The 23,687-nt window shown below is 42.4% G+C and overlaps 1 protein-coding gene and 1 long non-coding RNA gene across 4 annotated transcripts in view, besides 4 other annotated features; one reads left to right on the forward strand and one right to left on the reverse strand.

The window, feature by feature from the left end:
• NOS1AP (nitric oxide synthase 1 adaptor protein) overlaps positions 1 to 23,687 on the forward strand; it is a 300,785-nt gene that overhangs the window by 62,319 nt on the left and 214,779 nt on the right. For both annotated transcript variants that reach the window (NM_014697.3, NM_001164757.2), the window contains exon 2: positions 22,396 to 22,467. In NM_014697.3, coding sequence (NP_055512.1) covers positions 22,396 to 22,467 — 72 coding nt within the window. The remainder of the gene's footprint in view (positions 1 to 22,395; positions 22,468 to 23,687) is intronic.
• The window catches only part of LOC105371475 (uncharacterized), a 61,354-nt gene that overhangs the window by 18,143 nt on the left and 19,524 nt on the right, over positions 1 to 23,687 (reverse strand). The window contains exon 4 of one of the 2 annotated variants that reach the window (XR_007066697.1): positions 1,033 to 1,117. The exons of the other annotated variant lie outside the window; for it this stretch is intronic. This is a non-coding gene — a long non-coding RNA (uncharacterized LOC105371475). Of the gene's footprint in view, positions 1 to 1,032; positions 1,118 to 23,687 lie in introns of those variants that run through there. 2 annotated transcript variants of the gene reach the window in all.
• Positions 4,289 to 5,488: an enhancer, noted in NCBI's record as "CDK7 strongly-dependent group 2 enhancer chr1:162106088-162107287 (GRCh37/hg19 assembly coordinates)". NCBI's record gives its function as "activates an origin of replication core promoter dependent on BRD2, BRD4, P300/CBP, MED14 and CDK7 cofactors, with strong dependence on CDK7, by STARR-seq in HCT116 cells {active_cell/tissue: HCT116}" and the evidence as "EXISTENCE:reporter gene assay evidence [ECO:0000049][PMID:35650434]".
• Positions 12,846 to 13,560: an enhancer, noted in NCBI's record as "OCT4-NANOG-H3K27ac-H3K4me1 hESC enhancer chr1:162114645-162115359 (GRCh37/hg19 assembly coordinates)". NCBI's record gives its function as "activates a minimal SCP1, AML or CMV promoter by ChIP-STARR-seq in naive H9 embryonic stem cells {active_cell/tissue: H9 hESC(naive)}" and the evidence as "EXISTENCE:reporter gene assay evidence [ECO:0000049][PMID:30033119]".
• Positions 12,950 to 13,244: an enhancer, noted in NCBI's record as "tiled region #2282; HepG2 Activating DNase matched - State 5:Enh, and K562 Activating non-DNase unmatched - State 22:ReprW". NCBI's record gives its function as "activates a minimal TATA promoter and a strong SV40 promoter by Sharpr-MPRA in HepG2 and K562 cells {active_cell/tissue: HepG2 | K562}" and the evidence as "EXISTENCE:reporter gene assay evidence [ECO:0000049][PMID:27701403]".
• Positions 19,901 to 20,401: an enhancer, noted in NCBI's record as "H3K4me1 hESC enhancer chr1:162121700-162122200 (GRCh37/hg19 assembly coordinates)". NCBI's record gives its function as "activates a minimal SCP1, AML or CMV promoter by ChIP-STARR-seq in primed H9 embryonic stem cells {active_cell/tissue: H9 hESC(primed)}" and the evidence as "EXISTENCE:reporter gene assay evidence [ECO:0000049][PMID:30033119]".

Raw genomic sequence — 23,687 nt, forward strand, 5'->3', positions numbered from 1 at the left:
ACAGTGAAGGGTCCTTTAAATGACTATCAAGAAATCTATTTGGTGATAATGGCATGTGTGTGTCCCAGACATGTGATTCCTAGGCCTGCCTGGAAGGTGAGCTGAAACATTATGATCACAGTGGAGGATTATGGGAAGTTTCAAAGTACAGTTCCTGGGAGGGTGAAGGACTCCTGACTCTGCCAAATACCGGATGTGCTATACCAAACATAATGCTCCCTCTAACAGAAGTTGATGGCATCCTTGGATTCTTTGGGAAGGTGACGCACATTGGAGGAAATGCAACTCAAATATGCCTCCCCAGGCAAGAGAATCCATAGGAAGAAGCTTGTGATGGGAGGATTTACATCTGGAGAGATTAGAGTAGATGGATACAAAGTGATGCTAGTATGTAAAATAATTTTCTACCCACCTCGATAAGATCCTCATAGGAGAAATGATCTTTGTAGAAAGATAAAGTCAAGAAAAAAATACAGAGATTTCTCCGTGACCTTCAGGTCTAGTGAAACACAGGAGAATTGCCTTTGGACAGGATTATCTGATAAAGTGAGATCACGGCAATCAGATGATTATTATTTAATGATAGCACTTAATAATTGCTCAGCCTAATCTTAGCTCATTAAAGCAATATGGAAAGTAGTAGTAAACTTGGTTTGAAACTGTTATTGGTATAAAATATTTTGATGATGACATAATAGGAATCTATAGCATAGCTTCCCAACCCACAGGTCTCCATATTGATTCCTCCAGCCCTGCAAATCTATGAGTGACCCCTCCCAGGTTCCACACTCCTTCAGTTTTCCCCAGTTACCAGTGTTCTGGGTGCCATGGATAAAGGTCTGTTTCTGAAACCAGAGCTCTCTTCTTGCTGAGATTCTCCACTTTGCCTGCATGTGCCCCAATTTCCTTGTTTGCTCTGGCTCTTCTGTCAGAGCTATACACTTACTTGTCTTTTCTTTTGTGATCTCTTTTGACTTGGCGCCTAATGGAAACTTCTGCATCAGTGAGGTCCAGTGTGATAGTAAATGATGGAATATTGCAATATCACGTGTTGGCTGGGATTTCTGGGTCCATTGCTTCATATCCCATCTGAGTTCATTCTGTAGCAGCCATTTACCTAAAATATTTTCCAGGTGTGTGCTTATTATATTAGTACGCTTAATTTGTCTATATTCTTGGGTTTAATCTTTGAAATTTTGAATTAAACTGTATTAACAAAGACAAGTCATTATTTTATTAGATGCACTGTGTTGGTAATGCTTTCCTAAGTTGCCTCAGAAGATCTTCTAATCTTAACAAATGTTTTGTCATATTTTATCCTTTATCTGTCTTATCTATTGATTCTTGCCTAGGACCAATTATTGTAGATATCATACCCGTCTTGGTTACCATTGTGCCTAAACCCAGATACCATTTATAGTTTTATCTAAAAGTCTATGAATGAAATCATACTCTCTTGCTGTCTTATTATTCTAAAAGTGTGATATTTTATGTGAACTAGATTTTATAACAAGCTTTCCTTTTTATAATCTGGCAGCAGTATAAATTGTTGATGTTTATTCTTCTATCCCTTTTACATGATAGATGAATCTGTTCAATTTTGGCTTTTGAGTGACTCATATGTGGTTAGCATTCTGCTGTGGCATTGGGTGGTCTTTAGCATTTTATTGGACTATTTTATGAAACATCTCCAAAGAAATATGTTGGAACTGGTATTTATTACCTTAATCTTATTGTCTGCCTTGAGAAGCTGCTAACTAAATGTTTTCTCCAGCTTTTCCTTAATTGCAGTGTGGTTAATTCCTCTCAACTGCAGGAAGCCAAGGTATTTATAGATTGTTGTTATTATTTTTTGTGGCCTGTAGAAGTAATCGGCATTCAACGAATGCCAAGAACATGCTTGGCATGAAGTAGTACATAGAATTAGATCCAGTTCCTGCCCCATGAACTTGATGTGAGATAAGCTAACTGGGGAGGAGAGAAGGAAGAGAAGACTTTCCAAAAAATTGTATCTCTTCTAAAATTGGGAGAAAATGAATTTCAGTTTAAAAGGAAACCTTAAGAATTCAATTAATAGGATAAAACACAGGTGAAACAGTCAGTAAAAGCTAAGACACTATTTATGCTAAATTCATGAATCTAAGGAGTGAGCTATAGTAAGCCCTGGTATAATGGATAATTTATCTCAAAGCAAAACTGGGCTGGGCGCAGTGGCTCACACCTGTAATCCCAGCACTTTAGGAGGCCGAGGCAGACAGATCACATGAGGCCAGGAGTTTGAGACCAGCGTGGCCAACATGGCAAACCACCATCTCTACTAAAAATACAAAAATTCCAGGTTTGGAGGTGCATATGTAATTCCAGCTACTGGGGAGGCTGAGGCATGAAAATCGCTTGAACCGGGAGGTGGAGGTTGTACTGAGCTGAGATCACACTACTGCACTCCAGCCTGGAGTGACAGAGGGAGACTTTGTCTAAAAAAAAAAAAAAAAAAAAGTAAAACCGTAGTGCTGTAAATGGGGGAGGAGAGGAAGGAGAGTAGGGAAAAAGTCAAGATGTGGAGATGCATGCATTCAGTGGAAGGATTAAGGAATCCTGAAAATTACCCTGAATTCATCTCCCTCTCCAACAGCCACATCTGATCAGTTTCCAAGTCCTGTCCCTATTATCTCCCAGATATCCTCTCCTCCTATCCCTGATTCTTTTGCTCTGTTTTAGGTCCTTCTTATCTGTCACTGGTCTCTTGTCATGTCCTCTCCAATCTATCATCCATGAAGCAGCCATATAAACCTGATCAAAGTTCGTGGCTCAAAACCCTTAGGTGGCTGCACATGACTTAAGAGTAGCAATGCAAGGCCTTCATGACCTGACCCTGCCTGCATGTTCAGCCTTATCTCATCTGGCAGAGGACTTGTAGCATCTGAACACACCAACAGGCCATGCTGCCTCAACTCTCCATTTCTATGCACGCTGATGTTCCTGCCTAGAATGGCCTGCCTTCTCTATTTCTATCCAACCAACTATTTATCCTTCAAGTTCAAAAATTATCTTCTCTGTGAGTACTTCTGACTTGTATCCAAGCAAATTAGGTGTTTGCCTTTCTGTGCTTCTACTGGACTTGGTAGATATAACCTTATTACAGCAGTGACCTTAGCACATTGTCACTGTTGAATCATATGTCTCTCTTTATGTGTACTGTTAACGTTTAGAAGACAGATGTCATGTCTTTTGTTTTTTATGTCCTCAGAGGTATTGGTTGCCGGCTGATGGAAGGACTGGCTGGGTCATGTCAGGATGCAGGCTACTCAAGGACAGTGTGGATACTGAGTATCTGCAAAGGTTTTCGACTTTCATATACTGCAAGGGGGAAAGACAGGCTCTTGGAATTGTGGGAAGATGAATTTATTTCTCATTCTGGAAGGTTTCCAGTACTGGAGGACAGGAACAGTTGGTACAAATGTCCTGGATTTGTGGATATAATCTTGATGGGGGGACACCTGTTCTGTCTGCAGAACTGGCATTTATTTTGGACCCTGAGAAGCAGAAGCCTTCTGCATCTCCCAAGGGGGCAGCCAGGTCTGTGCAGGGAGGTTGCAGACCCAGGTTTGCGTTGTAATACAATTACTCTCACCATCTGGGGTTCTGCCTTAAAGCATGAGGGTGACTTGAACACTTCTGACCTCTGGAAACTCGGGGACGGTGAATTTCAAGACCAAAAGTGGCAAAGAGGCTGACTTACTTTTGGGAACATTAAAGGCCTCCATCTAAATGAACTTTGTGCATGTAGTGGACCACGTTTCATTTGATTCACCCATGTTACTTAAATTTGTTTAGGAATGGAATATTGTAATTGATTATTTTGTAGTGGGAATTTTAAGCATTTAAAAAATTTGTTAAAAATTTATTTTTTATTGACTTTCCTGTGTATGTACAACTGTTGTCTAGTGTTGTAGAGGAATATGATTTAGGTGTATAATACAATTTAGAATCCTGAGATTCTGGGAGTCTAGTGAAAGCTATGTTATAGAAGCAAGTGAAAACATTGAAATAACCCGAGTTAGTACTATAAAAATGGCCTCAACAAATGCTGTACATCATTCTTCAGAGGAGCAGGGTACTGCTATGGTGTGGAGTAGTCAGGGAGTGCTTCACAGGGAAGAAAATGCAATTTGAGCTGTGTCTTGAAGTGGGGTAGAATTTGAAGAGGTATAATAAAGAAAGGTAGTTCTGGGGCAGGAAAACAGCTACTGAGATGGGGATTCTTTATTTATTTATTTATTTTTTAATGTATGGTGTTATTTGACCAAGTATTTTATGATATAGATCTAGGCTCATGATCCTCCAACTCCCTTAATCTTATCTAACCTCTTCTAATTCTTTGAATACCTACCATGTATTCAGTATTGGGCTGGATACAAAAGAAATGCAAGACATCATTCTTTTCTTTATGGAGCTTCAGTCTTGTAGATTACCGTATCATATGGAAAAACATAGAACCAGCAGCAGTTTTTGGAAATGAGAATGTAAAATTAGAACTTCAGATTCTGTCTTGCTGGTATGATACCCTGGGCTTACTCTCATTCTCTCACTGCTTTCCAGATGTGTCCTTTTTCTTTTCTCATGTGCTGCAGAGGTGGGTAAATAGGGTACTCTCTACCTTTCATGACAGGAAATTCAATGTCAGGTGATTTGCCAAAGTTTAGAGACAAGTTGGTGGAAGAACCACAGTGAGATGTTTGTGTTTTTGTGTGTTTGTTTAAAAATTGCTTCTCAGCTGGCTGTAGTATGAAGGGAGTTGCCTTGGAGCATACAGAAGTACCTCCTAGCTTTTCTGGGGTGAATACTGCCCTTCCAAACATGCTCTGGTATTTTAGAAAGAGGTGTAATACATCAGGTCAACCAGAGTGCAGGTCAGAGTGCAGCAGCTCTGAGTCTGTTGCTGAGGAATTAGTGACTCATATGAAAAGCACCTCGGACTTGCTCATGAAGATTCTGAGATCCTCGTCAACTTGGTACTTGATCTCTGAATTTCCGTTCTACCCTCAGTCCTCTTGGGCCTTGGTTTTAGTGGAGGTAGGAGCTGAGAGTTGGAGTTGATCTTCGTTTGCTTCTTTGACTTTGTCTTTGATGGACCCCCCTGTCACAGATTAGGAGACAAAGCACGATTTGCATTTGCACTCAGCCTCCTGCAAAAATGCCATTTCTCAACATTTTCTTTCCATCTATCTCTTCTTTGTCAGTTTCAGCCTCTCAGCCACATTGATAAGCACATTCAAATTCTGGGCCACTCCTGCCACCCTGTGAGCCGTTTGTCTGTCCCTCTGCACTTCTGCAGCACTATTGATTTGCCGTTTGCTTGCACTTTAACTGGATCTGGATTGGCGTGTGCCTCTGGAAGGTTTTCCATCTATTGATCAGAGTTAATGGTACCCATCACCATGGTTTCTAGGATTGCTGTCTGGGATCAGCACAGTGTTGTTGCTAACCATTTTTTTGCCATGAAGCTGAGGCAGTCCAGGGACTCTGAGGCACTTAGAAGTAAACCTCAGAGCTCTGTTTTTCTTTTCAGAAATCTGTATGTGAGGATCTTTTTCTGCCCTTTCTCTGCTTGATTTCAAAATCCATCTTCTTCTTGTTCAGTTGCCTGCTCCTCATTCTGCTGTCTGACGGATGAAAAAACTCATGCCTTGTCTCCTGTGTGGTTGCTCAGGGTCTCCCTTGAGCCTTCAGTTATGCACATGCGTACACACACACATGTAATTGGGTCTCGCTGTGTTGCTGTATACCTAGACGGGCATTTCTCTTGTGGCTGCTCATATTGCTATCCTTCCTACATAGCCACTTAGGAATCCACAGACAGAGCAACCTCCTTAACAGAAAGCAAGCAAGCGGTGATTGGCTTGGAGTGTGTATGTAAGCATATATGGGTCTGTGAGAGAATACTAGGTGGGTAAGAGGGGGTGCTGGTGTGGTCAGTGAAGCCACTGTCAGTACCTCACATTAAATGTTAAATGTAACCCCAGGAAACAGGATACATTGACACCTTTTTTTAAAAATGCATAATCTGTTGATTTGGTAAATAACTCTAGTTGGTGTAGCAGATATGCACAGTGTATTGGTAGCCAATTGCCTCAAAACCTAACAGCTTAAAGCAATCATAATCATTTATTCTCTCATAGTTTCTGTGAGTCAGGTTTTCAGAAAAAAGCATAGCCTGGTGGTCCTTGCTCAAGGTCTCTTAGGAGACTGCAGTTAGTCTAAGTTTCTGTTGTGCAGTGGGGCGGTGGTGATGGTGGGATACGTGGTTTCCCTTTGGCTTAGTTTTGTAAATGTGGGCAGAGTGGCCCAAGAGGATAAGACTTTGTGGAGATGGGTGGGAGGAGTTTGCAGTTTTTAGAATTTGTATAAAAATACATACATTGAAATTAATATGAGGTTATTAATAATTGTTGTGTTATACCCTTGCATAGCATTTAATTTTATTCATTTGGTTCCCCAGATCCATCCTGGATAGATAGTGGAGGGAGAAGCTGGTGAGGCCAAGTGCCAGTTTTTGAAGAACATCTCTGTGACCCTGGCAAGCTGGAGCCAGAGGCCTGGGCTCCTGTCTGCCTGGGGGCCATCCAGAAGGACTGAGCTTGCTTTTTCAGCACCCGTTTCTTCCTTACTTTTCCATGACTTCACTTAGGAGCCAAGGCATTGAGAAAGCCCTTCTCTAAGAGAGGTCATGTGCTTAGCTGGCAAGGCTACAGGCAGCACCTGTGGCACCCCTAGTGTGCCAGGGGTGTTTTACTGTCTTGCTAGTGAAACCATTCTCGAGGAAGGGGAAGGGACACTGCACCTAGGGCAGTTAGCCAGAGCAGGGGTTCACACAGGGCCAGGGATTCCTGGGATGTGGGACTTTCACTGCTAAAACCAGGGCAGTGCCAGGCAAACTGGGATGGTTGGTCAACCTAACTATACTTGCAGATGCTTCCTGGTTGACCTCCACCTCTACTGCCCTTGCCCTTGCTTCTTACACCTGAGTAACAAACCTCATAATAGGTAAGCATCTGGCAGAAGGCTCCCTTGTGGATGAGGGCTCTGGCTTGGGGCATGTTGTATTTCACTCCGCCCTAGTGTCTACCTCTTAGCCCATCCCGGGTTTTGACCTCATTCCCTCCTTAGTTGTTATTTTCTTGGGATATCCCAGAACTCCAGGGATGAGGTGGTTGAAGACCACAAGGCTCTAACCACCAAGACACTGTGTTTCTGTTTGGTGCTGAAGGATTGCAGGGGTCTCTGGGTTGGAAGCCAATGTGGCCCTGTGGCTTGCTTCCTGTTTGTTTTTGTGGGTGGGAGCTCTACCCTGCTGTCCATTCCAGATACAAGCCTAGACACTATCTATCAGGGGCTTACAGATAGCCTGTGAATGGGAAAGGACTGATGACAGGATGTCCACAGATCTCAGTGCTGGAGGAACAATGGATGCTTTCTCAGAGGCTCACTTCCAGAATTTTGCTTTGTTGAATGGGATATATGGAGGGAGTGTTGAAAAGGCTTTGTTACGAGAGGAGGAGAAAGGGAGATGAGGCCACTGGTGCAGTGGAATAACCCTTTGTAGGAAGAACAGGGATTTCTGTCAGGGATGTTTGTTTAGCTCTGTGGTATGTAATTTGAATCTTTCGCCACAAAACAATCTTTATTAAAATATTGGTTTCTCCTTAAAAATAGCTTTTGTCAGACAAATCTGTACCCTTGCTGTGTTTCATTGGCATCTCTCAGAATGGGAGGCAAGCCGTGTGATTTCAGGTTCAGTTTCTCAGCCAGAGTTGCCGTCTTACTTTTTTTTTTTCTTTTGAGGCAGTCTTACTTTGTCGCCCAGGCTGGAGGGCAGTGTGTGATCTCGACTCACTGCAACCTCTGCCTCCCTGGTTCAAGTGATTATCATGCCTCAGCCTCCTGAATAGCTGAGATTACAGGTGTGCACCACCACACGCAGCTAATTTTTTGTATTTTCAGTAGAGACAAGGTTTTGCCATCTTGGCCAGGCTGGTCTTGAACCCCTAGCCTCAAGTGATCCACCTGCCTCAGCCTCCCATAGTGCTGGGTTTACAGGTGTGAGCCACCGCACCCGGCCTGCAGTCTTAATTTTGTTTTCTAAAGCATTTCTCTGTGTCCCAGAGAAGACCTTTGCCTGCAGGCCCTCTGTTCTCATCCACAACTACTTTCTTTTTTATTCCCTGGTTCCTTTTGTATTCATTCAAGGTCCTCCAGACAATCATTTATTTGCTAGGACAGAGTGTGGTCAATCTCTATATATATTATTAGAATCAAGGGCACACGTGCAGGTCTGTTACATGGGTATACCCAATGTTTAGCTCCCATTTATAAGTGAGAACCTACAATAGTTGGTTTTCTGCTCCTGTGTTAATTCCCTTAGGAAAATGGCCTCCATCTGCATTCACATTGCTTCAAAGGACATGATTTCTTTCTTTTTTTCACTGTGTAGCATTCTGTGGTGCATATGTAGCACATTTTCTTTATCCAGTTCACTGTCGATGGACACCTGGATTGATTCCATGCCTTTGCTATTGTGAATAATGCTGCAATGAACATATCAGTGCATATATCTTTTTTGGTAGAATGATTTATTTTCCTTTGGGTATATAACCAGTAATGGGATTGCTGGCTCAAATGGTAGTTCAGCTCTTAGTTCTTTGAGAAATCTCCAGACTTCTCCACCGTAGCTGGACTAATTTATATTCCCACCAACAGTATAGAAGCGCGCCCTTTTCTCCACAACCTGACCGACATCCGTAATTTTTTGACTTTTTAACAAAAGCCATTCTGATTGGTGTGAGATGGTATCTCACTGTGGTTTCGATTCGCATTTCTCTAGTGATGATGAGCATTTTTTTACATTTGTTGGCCTTGTGTATGTCTTCTTTTGAGAAGTGTCTATTCATGTTCTTTGCCTACGTTTTATTGGATTTGTTTTTTTGCTTATTGATTTAAGTTATTAAGCCTTTGTCGGATGCAAAGTTTGCAAATATTTACTACCATTCTGTAGGTTGTTTGTTTACAGTCTCTTTTATTCTTGCCTCCTTATCTTTGGCAAATAGAAAGTGTTCTGTAATTTTTAAAAAAGGAATGGAGCTTCAATGTGAAATACTAGGTGCTTTCCCTACATGGTCTCATTTAATCACACTGGTAATCTTGCAAAATTTCACTTCATAAATGATGAAGCTGAGGTGCTGGGAGGTTGACCAGATGGCTCAAATTCATAGAGCAGCTAGAAAGTGGTGCAGCTGGAATTGGAACCAATGAGACTTTTCATGTGATTCTAATATATATTTTTATTTTTAGAGCATTGGCTTTGAAGCCAGGATACCTGGGTCATAGCCTCTCTCACTTTGATTCTGTAACTTAGTGACCTTGAGCAAGACTCCTGATCATTGAACATTAGTCAGTCCTGCCTTGTTGGAGTAAAACAAGATGTGGGGCCAAAAGACCTTGGAGCTACTTTCTAGTGCTGATGTCTCTCTTCCCTCTTTGTTTCTGGGAAAATCTGTCCTCATCATCCATGTGTGCCCCTCACCTCCGTCTCCTTTCACTGATCGCCCTTGTGTACTCTTTTCTCTTTGACTTCTCTGATTATTTTGTGGCTTTTCTTGCTCTCTTTCTTTCCACCTTTTGGTTAGAGGAACTAATGCCGGGACTTAATTTCTCAGACTTTCTACTTCCCTTTAGCTTACTTGGATTACCTTATCTGAAAAATCATTGCAAAAATAGTTGCTGTTTTGTGATGCTGCTGCCGATGTTAATGAGAATGATTAATTCCTCTGCTATGAGGACTGTTGGGTGGATCACCATAGGAAGTTGGGTAATATGATGGAGTCTTTATAGTGCAGGAGGAGTGGGACTGCCTGAAGGCAGGTAAAGAACTAGAAAACATCTTAAAATTTCTTGCTTAAAAACAGGAAAAGCTATCATTTGTCCATTCATTTGTTTGGTGGGCCAAGCTTTGTACTGGGCGCTCAGGATACAGTGGTGACAACAACAGTTATACCTTGGAGCTACCAATGCAGTCTAGTTTGGAGAGACACAGTTAATCTAAGAAACAGATATTAACTCACAACTCTGATAAGTGGAACCAGGTATAACAGGGAGAACTAACTTAGATGTAGAGCTGACAGAAGATCTAAATGCCAATCACTTCATATGTATTATTTTATTTAATCTTTACAGTGGCTCTGTAAGGAAGATGGATAGAATGACAAGAGTGGACATCCTTATCTCGTTCCTGATCTTAAAGGAAAAACATTCAGTCTTTCACCATTAAATAGGACGTGGGTTTTTGTAGAAGCCCTTTATTAGTTTGAGGAAGTTCCTTTCTATCCATAATTTGGTGTGCGTGTGTTTCTGCGTGTGTGTGTGTTTAAATCATGAAAGGGTATGAAAGGGTATTGGATTTTGTCAAATGTGGGGTTTTTTTTGTCTGTTGAGATGAACATATGGTCATATGTTGAACTAACCTTTTATTCTTGGTGTACATTCTACTTGATCATTGTGTATGATCCTTTTTGTATGTTGCCGAATTTGTCTTGCTAGTACTTCCTTGAGGATTTGAGGACAGGCATTGTTAAAGGCGAAAGCATGTGTAGCATATTGTCATCTTTCTTTCTGCTAACAGTGTAGGAAGTTTTAGAAAAATCCTAAAAATCAGCTTCAAGGACTCAAAAGGTGTAGTATTAATAGTAGTCTGGAGCCATTCCTTGCAGGGTCGTTGCTGACTTGTAACTTACACGTTAAGTGATGTATGTAAAGGTTATTCTGGCTTATAGAGACTCGATTGTTAGGACAGCGTGGAATATATTTTAGAGAGATTTCTAATCAAGAGAGTTTAAAATATAGAAAACTTTATATTTAAGTGGGGAACATGCCAGTTATCTGGAAATTTTACTCATTTGTGGGGTTTCATTCAGCAGTGAGGCTGACAAATGATTAATGACTGCACTGCAGACCCCACATTCCCAACTCCAGGAAGGCTTTTCCTGGTCGCAACTTGCTCAGTCGGAGGCAAATGTGACAGGGTGTTTACCTCAAACTGAGCCCATCCCATGAGGTTCTGTGAGCAGTGTCATAGTTAGCCATTCCCTGATGAGGGGTGGCAGGTGGGGGTGTTTGCCAGTTGTCTCTGTGGTCTGGTCACTGGTAACACTCTGCTTGTGCCATTCACCACTTCCGTCTTCACTCCTCTTTGATTCTGTTGAGACTAATTTCTTGATTCTGCCCTTCCATTTACTCTGGCATTTTAGATCACCTCACTCTGTGTACAGTTATTAGTCTATGAGAATTCAAGGAGGCTATTATGGTAAAGCTACAAATTCTGTACCTTCAGGATCTTCTTGGCTCACAAAGCAAGAACATGATAATACAAAGAATATTATCTCCTTATGATTTTATAATATTTTCTAAACTATAAAACTTTGATCTGCATTATCTAATTTTGATTTGCAGTGGTGCAATCATGGCCCACTGTAGCCTTGACCTCCGGGGCTCAAGCGATCCTCCCACCATGGCCTCCTGATTAGCTGGCACTACAAGCGTGTACCACCACACCTGGCTAAATTTTTTCATTTTTATTTTTTATAGAGATAGGATCTTCCTATGTTGCCTAGGCTGGTCTTGTACTCTTGGGCTCAAGTGATCCCCCCACCTCGGCCTCTCAAAGTGCTGGGATTTCAGGAGTGAGCCATCATGTCTGGCCCATCTAATTTTGATTCTTATGACAACCCTGACATGTAGGTAGTACAGATACTAGGTACATTTCATGAATGAAACAGAGGCTTGGTGAGTTTAAGTACTTAGAATTTAGGAGGTGTAGGATGTTGGTGCTGCGCAAAGCTGAGTGCTTTCGTTCTTCATGTGAAGAATAAGGGATCTCTCTCTATTGTCATCTGACAGCCTTCTCATTTCTTCAGTTTACTGTTCTCCAGTAGTTGGATGACCATTTCCCTCCTTCGGTGTCATGGCACCATTTTTATTTATGTGCCTTTAATTCCATTCCCAAAGTCATTCAGATGAACCAAATAGGGATCCCCGTCCATTCCTTGTAAGTCTTGGTGCCCCACCATTTTTCACTGATGTGTTTTTGACCTTCTGACCATTTGGGTGTCCATACACAGGCATCCTCATCTAGCTCAAGTTGAGTTTAATGTAGTGAACCAGCCCTTGCTGGGGCATTGGCTTATGTTCATCCTGATTACTTATTTCCTACTGAAGTATTAGCATGGTGGTACAGGGTAGGGAGTCCTACACTGGTTCTGATTCTGCCACTCACAAGCTACGTTTTCATTCTTTCTCTGAGCCTTGATTTTCCCTTCTATAAAGTGAAGGGTTAGATCAAATCACATTCGAGGTCACTTAAACTCTGTCATTGGATCTGACTTCCTTATTGGTTTTCTGGTGTTCTTTGTTCACCTATCCATTCCTGGTTTACCTGATACAGGTGATGATTTTAATGATCATACAGCCTTTGTTAGTGTATCCCTTTGCCTCACACCATGTGTTGGACTTTCTTTTCTTTTCTTTTCTTTTCCCTAGGAGAAAATAACCTGCTGGCCAAGTCAGCATCCCAGGTAGGCATGGCAGAAAGTGCTGCCGGCCCAGGGTACAGCCCGGCCTCTGCCTCACACCTGCCTCTGTGACACGAGCCAGAGATTTTAATCACCAAGCTGAAGCTTTTATTCAGGAGCTGATAGTTGAAAGGCCAGAACAGTTTCTCTGTCTTCCTGCTTTTTTTCTCTCCTCTTTGCTGTACCCCTCAGATCCTCATAATAGAAATAATCAGGCCAACCCATCTAAGCTTTTGCTAATGGAGACTAAAAGAACTGAAAGACACAGCCTCCCCATGGGCACGCTGGTTGGATCGTTCTGTCTTACCCTCTGTCCCTTTTAGAGAATTGCATGGCATTAGCATAAAGACAAGTCATCGCAATCATTTTGCACCCAGCCCCTTAATGTTGAGGAGCAGGAAGGATTCTGCTGTGATCTCCGGCACATTCATCGGCCCCTGCTGAGCTACTGATCAATAGTGACACAGTTGCATCAGATGGCCTTCAAATAGTGCTTCCTTTTTCAGATGGGCTGGGAGAGAGAGGAAGAAATATAAGTGCCTCATTCCTCTTAGACTACAAATAAATGAAGACGTGGTGTGCAGCTGCATTTCAAGCATTTTGGAAGCTTTTCTGGTGTATGTGAGGGGTGGGTGGGGGGGTTGGCACTGAGGCTTCTCTCTTGATTGCAGTTGAGAGCAAGGATGCTGCTAAATGTCCACATGGGCGCTTTGAGTCCCTATCCCCACGTCCCTTACACCCTAGCACCTGGAGAGCCCCGAGCAAGCCTCACAAGTGGGGAGTGGGATACCCTGACGCAACTTTTCTCTTTTTCCTCCCCTCCCCCAGAGTATTTAGTAGGAGGTCACTGGCTGAGTGTGTGCCCCGGAATCTGGGGCCGCTCCTGCTGCTGCAGTTAATGCTGCTTTGTTCCATGCTAAATGAGGCGAGAACTTTCACCCTGGTCACATTCATAATCCCGCTCAGCAGGACGCTCAGCTGTGCACAAGAGCAGTTTCTGCAGGCAGGGAAGGGCTTTCCCTTTGGACAGTCCTTTGGAAAGCTCCTTTGGTTCTCTGTTTCTGGAAGCTATCAGTACAGAGGATAGGTTCAGGGACTAACTCAGATGGGCAATCTCAGCTGGGGGTTTCTAGGCACGACCAGGGTATCAGATTTCTTTATGCTTTTGTGTGTTTTGGAGAGAGGACACAGTATGACCAGGAGACCAGCGGGATATGAGGAGGTAGACAGGGAGACCAGACTGCATTTGGGACCCCCAAGGGAGAGAGTTTGGAAGAATGCAGGGGTCCTAGACTAGAAGCCAGGAGCTTGAGGGAGACTGAGCCCCTTCTCTGCCATCTGCTAACTGCTTTGGGCCTCACTGTCCTCTGTAAAAGAAGGGAGTTACCCCTGAAACTCACATGTTGTATCCTGTGTGCTGAGGCTGTAGAACTGAGCAGCTTCAGAAAGGAGATGAGAGCTGGGAGTGCAGCAGAGGCAGGGACCTTTACGTTATGCCTATTTCTGGGGGCCCTGTCCTTTCCTGCGGCCTTGCCTGCGCTAGCTAGTCACTGGGGCTTTTACAGACCCATAGCAGAAGATTCTGCTAGCCTCTTCTGAAGCATGTTTTCTTGTTCTTAATGATAGTTAACTTGGCTGGTCATAAATCCTAAATCTGCCTCCTCTGAGGTGGGGAGCAGTTAAAATCTCCACTTGATTTTCTTGTTTTTCCAACTGTCCCCTTCTGCTGGTTTCCTTGGAGTTTCCTGAGCACATGCACAGTTGGGGTCCTGAAGACCTGGCTGGGGTTTACACATGATTTTGGAGGCTTCCCCTCTGTGACTCCCTCCTGCCTGCCCTCTCTTTTAAGCTCCTCTGGCTGTCCCCGTCTCTGGTATCCAACTCCCCAGGGTGTCAGAGTGAGCTTTTCTGCCTGAGCTCCAGCCAGCCTGCACTGTGCCTGTGGGGTTGTGCTGCCAGACGAGATGCCCCACACCCAAGCCTCACCAAGAGCAGTTCCCTTCTTTCAAAGCTTGACTTCCCATAATCTCTGCCTGTTTTTTGTCTCTTTCCAGGGCTTTTAAAGTTACTATTATTATCTTAAACAATAGACTTTATTTTTTAGAGAAGTTTTAGGTTAAGAGAAAAATTGAGAGGCAAGGCCAGAGTTCTCATACATTCCTTATTATTAACATCTTACATTAGTATAGTACATTAGTTACAATTGATAAGCCAATATTGATACATTATTATGAACTAACATTCACAGTTTATATTGTGGTTCACTTTTTGTGTCCTGCGTTCTATGCAGAGCTATTTTTTCTATCTTGTTCAGAGTTCCTATTTGTTACTTGTGGGAGGCTTAGTCTGATACTAGCTACTCCAACTTTATCAGAAGCAGAATAATCTGATGCATTTATTTTTGATTGATAAATACAAGGCCGGGCGCGGTGGCTCATGCCTGTAATCCTAGCACTTTGGGAGGCTGAGGCAGGCGGATCACGAGGTCAGGAGATTGAGACCATCCTGGCTAACATGGTGAAACCCTGTCTCTATGAAAAATACAAAAAATTAGCCAGGTGGGGTGGTGGGCGCCTGGAGTCCCAGCTACTCTGGAGGCTGAGGCAGGAGAATGGAGTGAACCCGGGAGGCAGAGGTTGCAGTGAGCCTCTGAGATCGCACCACTGCACTCCAGCCTGGGCGACAGAGCGAGACTCCGTCTCAAAAAAAAAAAAAAAAAAAAAAGATAAATACATTTTTCCCTTGTCTCTGGAAGCACCTGACATAAACCTTGTGAATAAAAGGAGTTTCCAGAAGAAGGTGATGGTGATGGCAGAAAGTCTAACAAGTCTATGGATGGCAATTACATTGGTGAATGTTTCGAGCTTTCTGTCTTGCTGCTTTTCACATTATGATTCGTGTACCAGGGGCCACAACAGTAGAGTTGATTGGTGTCTTCAGAAGTTAATCTCCAGAAAATAGGGTGGAAGCCAGCAAGTGAAAGCACTTTATGAAATATTAACTTAGTACTGAGGCTGAGGTTGTCCAGAAACTTATAAAAAAATTTGAAGTCTTTCAGTTAACTTTATTTGCAGTTAGCTCCTGCTTATCTGGAAGATAAGATAGAACAGATACAGATAATCCCATATCTTGATTACCTATACAGTTTGCATCTTCTGTATAGTTTTTTTCTTTCTAGATGTTAATGAAAAAGAAGTAGGCCCTGGTATTTTTAAACTCCTTTACCTTATTTCCCCTTAAGCTCAGTGGTCAATGTTCTGAATAGAGGCCCTGTTTGATGTCTCACAGCAGGGATTCCTGGAAGGGGGGGATGCAGGAATGCTACAGAAGTCTTACAGAAGGCTAGGTGATTAAAAATCCACCAGCAGGAAGGTTTAACATACCACCCCTCTCGGTAAACCAGGAATTGCATGTGCTACTGTAAAAGCATCTGGCTTAGGTCCAATTGAAGTACCTGGATAAAAGTCAAGTAAGTTTTGCTGTGGGACTATACAGAGTGTAATGGAGGGCTGGAAGGAGCAGGCTGATGCCTCAGATGCCGGAACACCAGGCAGAATCCAGGACTCAGGATGCTCCTCAGAGGAGAGATTCTCCCATGGGCACTTGGGGTGAATCTGTGTTCATTTTTGGAGGATTCCACTCAGTCAAATGTATTTTGAGCATCTCCTGTGTACCTGGACCTGTGGGAGGCACGGTCAGCTAGTGATGACTAAAGCATGTTTTAGCTGTGTGTTCTAGACAGGAGAATTGCATGGAGGTATGGGAGTCCTCTCTAAGGGTATCTCACCTACCCTGGGGGTAAACAAAGGGGAAGTAGAGATTAAGCAGAAATCTACAGGATCACGAATGTTGGAAGATTAGGGGACGAGTGGGTAGAAGAGTATTCTGTGCACAGGGAGGAACATGTGTAGATGCCCTTGAATGTGAGAAGATACGGTGTGATTGAGGAACTTCTGAATAATTGGCAAGGCCACTGGTGTGAGATGAAGCTGGACCATGTGGCTATGTAGGCCATGCTGAGGATTTTGATTGCCATCTTTGAGCAAATGGAAGCAAGTGTGGGAGGTTCTTAAAGAAGGGAATAAGATGACCCAATTTGCTTTGTAAAGAGATCACTCTGGCAGCTTCATGGAGAATGGTTTGCAGAGGGCCATGTGGGTACTGGAGAAACCAGTAAGGAGGCCATTGTATAGACAAAGTGAGAGAGGAAGATTTTCTGGGATCAGGTAATGGCAGTGTAGACAGAGAGGTAGAGGGGAGAGAATTGGGAGGTCCTGATCACTGATTAGCTGTGACGGGTAAGGGAGAAGCACGTTCGGGGATGACTCAAGTTTCATGCTTGAAAAACCGGTGGATTTCCTGGGGGCTGCTAATCAGGATGAGGAAGGCTAGAGGAGGAACATGACATGGGAGAAGGAGGGGAAAAAGGATGAGTTTCCATTTTGAAATATATTCCTCCAATTCCCAGGCATCAGGCCAACCCAGCTCCATTGCCCTAGGAACGTGTGGGAGCCTGCATCCTGCAGGAGAGGCAGATAAAAGGAGTGCTGTTTCAAAGTGATCAACTGCCACCAGTGTATCAGTCTTTGACTGAAGGCAGGGAATTGGTGTTGCCTGACCCCTGTAGGAATTGACAGAGCCTGGATATCTGAAGGTTGTTGGCTCCTAGGCCTGAACTTCATCTACCTGCTGAGCTAACCTTCCAGTCAAGAGTGGGAGGGTCTGCCTGAGTTCAGTTTACTGCAGAATTGCTTGAAGTTGAGCAGTTAGAAGGGCCACCCTCCAGCAAGTATGTCTGGTCTTAGATGGTGTCTTACACTTTGCTCAAGATGAAGACTCAGGGACAGACAGAAGTTAGTTGTGGAGGTGGTAATGATTAGTTATCAAGGTACTCTTTGTTGTGGTGTCATATGTGTAAAGAAAGTATTCACATACCACACCCTCTGGTTTTGCCCTGTGCAGTAGACTTTCTGACCCTTTGCTTCCCTGGCACTGTAGTTCTGCTCTTGATTCATGTTATTAGAGTGGATGTTTAGCTTTTGTCTAGGAGATGCAGACCTGAATCCTGCTTTGTGTATCGTTTTAATCTCTCTGGATGACCCTAAGGTGCAGCTATAGCGAAAACAGGTTATTTATTCCAGACACATTCTCAAAAAGGCAGATTAGTGATTCTTGTTTGTAATTTATTTTATTTTAAAAAATTTATTTTCAATTTTTGTGGGTACATAATAGGTGTATAGGTTTATGGGGGCACATGAGATATTTTGATACCGGCATGCAATGCATAATAGTCACATCAGGGTAAATGGGGTATCCATCACCTTAAGCATATATCCTTTCTTTGTGTTACAGATAATCCAATTACATTCTTTCTGTTATTTTTAAATGTACAATAAGTTATTGTTGACTATAGTCATCCTATTGTGGTATCAAATACTAGATCTTACTCATTTTACCTAATTATATTTTTGTACTCATTAACCATCCTTCCCTCCCTGCTGCAACTACCCTTCCCACCTACTGGTAACCATTGTTCTACTCTCTCTTTCCATGAGCTGAATTGTTTTAACTTTTAGCTCCCACAAATAAGTGAAAACATGTGAAGTTTGTCTTTCTGTGCCTGGCTTATTTCACTAACCTCCATTTTTATCTGTGTTATTGCAAATGACAGGATCTCATTCTTTTTCATGGCTGAATAGTATTCCATTTTACTGCATTTTCTTTATCCATTTGTCTTTTGAGGGACACTTAGGCTGCTTCTAAATCTTGGCTATTGTGAATAGTGCTGCAATAATCTGGGAGTGCAGATATCTCACCAATATACTGATTTCCTTTCTTTTGGGTATCCTAGCAATGGGATTGTTGGATCATGTTGTAGTTCTAGTTTTAGTTTTTTGAGGAACCTCCAAACTGTTCTCCATAGTGGTTGTACTAATTTACATTCCCATTGATAGTATACGAGGGTTCTTTTTTCTCCACATCCTTGCCAGCATTTATTATTGCCTGTCTTTTGGATAAAAGTCATTTTAACTGGGGTGAAAGATATCTCATTGTAGTTTTGATTTGCATTTCTCTGATAATGATGTTGAGCACCTTTTTATGTACCTGTTTCCCATTTGTGTGTTTTCTTTTGAGAAATGTCTAGTCAGATCTTTCACCCATATTTAAATCAGATTATTAGATTTTTTTCCTACAGAGTTGTTTGGGCTTCTTATATATTCTGGTTATTAATCCCTTGTCAGATAGGAAGTTTGCAGATTTTTTCTCCCATCCTGTGGATTGTCTCTTCACTTTGTTGATTGTTTCCTTTGCTGTGCAGAAACTTTTTCAACTTGATGTGATCCCATTTGTCTATTTTTGCTTTGGTTGCCTGTGCTCATGGGGTATTACTCAAGAAATCTTTGCCCGGTCCAATGTCCTGGAGAGTTTCCCCAACATTTTCTTTTAACAGTTTCATAGTGTGAGGTCTTAGTTTTAAGTCTTTAGTTCATTTTGTTTTGATTTTTGTATATGGTGAGAGATAGGAGTCCAGTTTTATTCTTCTACATATGGATATCCAGTTTTCCCAGCACCATTTATTGAAGAGACTATTCTTTCCCCAATATATGTTCTTGGCATCTTTGTTAAAAATGAATTCACAGTAGATGTATGGATTTGTTTCCGGGTTCCCCATTCTGTTCCATTGGTCTATGTGTCTGTTTTTATGCCAGTACCATGCTGTTTTGGTTACATGTTCTGTAGCATGTACATGTGCATGTTCTGTAGCATGTACCTGGTTACATGTTTTGTTCTATAGCCTAATTTGAAGTCAGGTAATGTGATTCCTTCAGCTGTTTTCTTTTTGCTCAGGATAACTTTAGCTATTCTGGGTCTTTTATGGCTCCATATAAATTTTAGGATTGTTTTTTCTATTTTTGTGGAGGATGTCATTGGTATTTTGATAGGGATTGTATAGTACAGACACTTTAACAATAGTGATTCTTCCAATCCATGAACATGGGTTATCTTTCCATTATTTTGTGTCCTCTTCAATTTCTTTCATTAATGTTTTGTAGTTTTTATTGTAGAGATCTTTCACTTCTTTGGTTAAGCTAATTTCTAGGTATTTAGATTAGTGATTTTCTTTGCATGAATGAGAAGGAAGGAAGGAAGAAGAGCAAGTGAGTGTGTGGTGTGAGTGTGATGTGTTAGTAGGGGTGTGGGGTGAGGCAAGTGTGTGGCATGTGGGGTGTGCATGTACATGTACATGCGCACCATGACTGTGTGTGAAGGTGTGTGGTACATGTATGCACACATACCAGCTGGGGTAGTGGCTGATGTAGTGAAGGAGTTACTTGTGGGGTGAAGATGGTAGATGTCTTAATGTGAGCCCCTTGTTAGGAAGCCTTGTCCAAAACTCGAAGCTGCCTCTTCTCTCCACCTGTCCTCCCTGCATCCTATGTTTCCTTTGGCTTTCTCAGTCCAGCAGTGCCTCTTCCAGAAGAGGTAGAAATGGGCCAGGGTCATGGTAGCAGGATAGGGATGGGTCCCATCTGGGTATTTGTGTTTAGGCCCAATGGTGGGTCTCACTGGGCAGCAGCCCCTTTCCTGGTCTGCAGGGATCCAGTGGGAGGACTATACAGTCCCCCAGGCTCCCTGTGATGGGTGACCTTTCTCGGTCCTGTGGCCCTAGCTCTCATGTGATGGCTGAGGGAACATGAGCCCCTCAAGGCCTGTGTGTTCCTGACTGCACAGCATTCAGGGCAGGAGCCATCAGCTGTGCAGTGTCAAGGAGAGGGGGCATGGAAACTGCCCCCAGCTGGAGGGCCTGTGAAGTTGGGCAATCACGAATCTGGGCCTTACGTCATCCCTAGCTCTGGGTCGCTGTCTTGTTGACAGACTGTACCGCCTCAGCAGAGCTCAGAAGGAAAAATGTAACCACAGTTAAATCTGGCCACGCTATCAGATCTAAGTGGTTTTGTTTACCTCAGCAAGCTGCAAGGTTCTTCAATAGCTGTGTTGCTCCCCATGGGCCGTGGTGGGGCTGTCCCCTTGGGGCCAAACTGCAATGTGCTCACTGCTTGCCAGCTGTGTTCTTCAGTGTATTAGCACAAACTGTTGATCAATACTAGGGGAAATCCCTTTGTGGTATTTAGTTTTTGAAACCCTCCTCACTGGGGTCAGGCCTCAGCTCCAAATTTCGGGAAAAACTTGCTTTTCCCGTAACTACAGGACATCCCTTTCCCGCACAGATGTCGCAGTCTTATCTTCACTCTTAATGGAATCTTTGCTTGGGTAGACTTTTAAGTTAGTCTGGGCTCTTAATTTCTAGTATATCCCTTGGGCTGTTTTATGTAATTTATGTATAATAAGGAAAGGCAAGTCCCAATGAATCAGTGTGTAATGGGATGGTGTATATGAAGGCGCTCATGTCATAGATGCTTAATCAATGAATCAGTGTTGGGTGGTCCTATTTTCTTGTTTCATTCTTATAAGCAATGATATCTAGAGATTATACCTTTTTAATTTTTACTTTTTGAAACAGAGCCTCAGTCCATCACCTGGGCTAGAGTGCCATGGCACGATCTCAGCTCAGTGCAACCTCCGCCTCCTGGGTTCAAGCAATTCTCATGCCTCAGCCTCCCGAGTAGCTGGAATTACAGGCATGTGCCACCACACCCAGCTAATTTTTGTGTTTTTAATAGAGATGAGGTTTCATCATGTTGGCCAGGCTGGTCTCGAACTCCTGACCTCAAGTGGTCTCCTTGCCTCAGCCTCCCAAAGAACCAGAATTACAGGCATGAGCCACAGTGCCCAGCCAAGATTATACTTTTGATCCAGCAATCTTATCCTAGGAATCCAGAAATCTTACTTCTAGAGCTACTTGGATGGGCTCAAACTTGGCTAGATGAAAAGTATAATTTGTAGTAGTGTCATAGCATGTCCACCAGTAGGGGAGCCATTATATGTAATGTAATAGTCCTGTATTCATTGGCATAGAGAGATGCCCTAGTTGTATTTAAAGTCAAAAAACCAAGTTGCAGAACAATGTGAGTAATATGAACCTTTACATAAAACAAATTCCCTCCTGTCTGTGAATATATACCCATCAGTACACAAAGAGAGATGTACATCAACTGTTACAGTGGGGACTTTATTCTTTTGTGCTGCATATTTCTGCATTATTTGAATAGCTTACAGTAAGAAAGTACTCATATTAAGCATTCATTCATCTTCAAAAAATTTTAAATAAATTAATTCATTTCTTTCCTCCAGTCGGGAACTTAATCAAATGTGTCAGGTATCTAAAACATCTAGGGCTCAATCAGTGAAATTCCATTAGTTAAAAAAGGTATATATTCTTTTTTTTTTTTTTTTGAGAGCACTAATATTTGCCAATCACTTTTGTGTAGGACATTTTATTCTGTTTGATCTTTACTGAGAGCCAATTTTACAGTTGAGGAAATTGAGACAAAAAAAGTGAATTGCTTTGCCATAAAGTAGTGGTGGAAGAGTCTTCACACCCAAGGCTTTCTGGCTTGAAAGGCTGCTTGGTTAGACACAGTTCTCTACTGGATCTCTGGTTAAGAGCAAGATGAAAAAAGGAAGCAGTAATTTCTGGTTAACTTGCTTTTTATAAAGTTAGAAACAGACTCAAAACAAAACACCCTGCTGGCTCTTAATTTCTTCATCTGTAAAATGGGCAGATGAGCTAGTCCTTTACCCTTTGGAACTTTCTGGGATTAGGGACACTTGCTACCCCTCCTCTCAATGAGTGTTTGCTTCTCCCCCACAGTACGTAGGAAGCCTGGACGTGCCAAGGCCCAACAGCAGGGTGGAGATCGTGGCTGCCATGCGCCGGATACGGGTGAGTGGCCAGAGGTGGACTGTGTGGAGCGGGGAGTCAAGTGCCTTAGCTGCTGGCCCTTCTAGGTAGGGCTGGAGGGGCCAAAATGGATGGCTACACCCCTTGCAAACCCAAACTCCTCCTCTCTGTACCCTCTAGGTAGCTGTTCTGAATTGAACATTTGATCTTGATGAAAGGCCAATGTTAAAATGGATGTGATGGCTGGAGTGGTACCATCTTCCCTCTCTTGTGACCTGTAGCTCCTCAAACTGAGATACATGTTACCTTGATGATGTGTGGTGACTGGCCAGGGACTGATGTCTCTTTTTTATTCAAAGATTTTAGGGAAAAGGTTTAGTAATGATCTGGTAATTGACTCAAAAAGATGGGGTTTCACCGTGTTGCCCAGGCTGGTCTCGAACTGCAGAACTCAGGCAATCCACCCACCTCGGCCTCCCAAAGTGTTAGGATTATAGGCATGAGCCTGTATAATGTTTATAATGGAAGCTTTTATTAGAAACGGTGGCTCTTGAATAGAATGGGAGTGGAATAAGTACTCTAAATAGGAAAAATAACATTAGCAAAGATATAGTATAGTGATGAACTGTTGCCTGGATAAGGGAGGACAAAGAAATTGGCTTGATTAGGGTATTCGAGGGTGGGTAAGCGATGTGTTATATGGGGAGGGTGGAGCTAGTTAACAAAATGGTTTGAACTTCAGTATGAAGGAGTTTGGGATTGAGTCCATACACAGTGTGAAGCCTTTATACATATATATATACATATACATATACACATACATATATATATACACATACATATACACATATATACATATATATGTATATGTATGTGTATATATATATGTATGTGTATATGTATGTATGTGTGTATATATGTATGTGTATATATATATAGAGAGAGAGCTTATATATATAGAGAGCTCATATATATATATATAGAGCCTATATACATACATATATACATATATATATATATATAGAGAGAGAGAGAGAGGTATCGAATATAAGATTTACTTGGATTTTTAAGAGCAAATGTGAGATTTGAACAAAATTTTATTGGTTGGATGCCGTAGGCTCCGGGAGTGTAAGCGCATTTTCTTCTGCCATTTTGTCTACTTTCGGAAAGTTCACTATACATTCTCGCTGGTATACATGGTTCAGTCTGTGAACTTGTTGCTTTCTGACTCTGTGGTACATGAAGCTGAGACTGAGCAAGAA

The sequence above is a fragment of the Homo sapiens genome, chromosome 1 (genome assembly GCF_000001405.40).
Source record: "Homo sapiens chromosome 1, GRCh38.p14 Primary Assembly".
In the NCBI taxonomy this organism is placed as follows: Eukaryota; Metazoa; Chordata; class Mammalia; order Primates; family Hominidae; genus Homo; species Homo sapiens.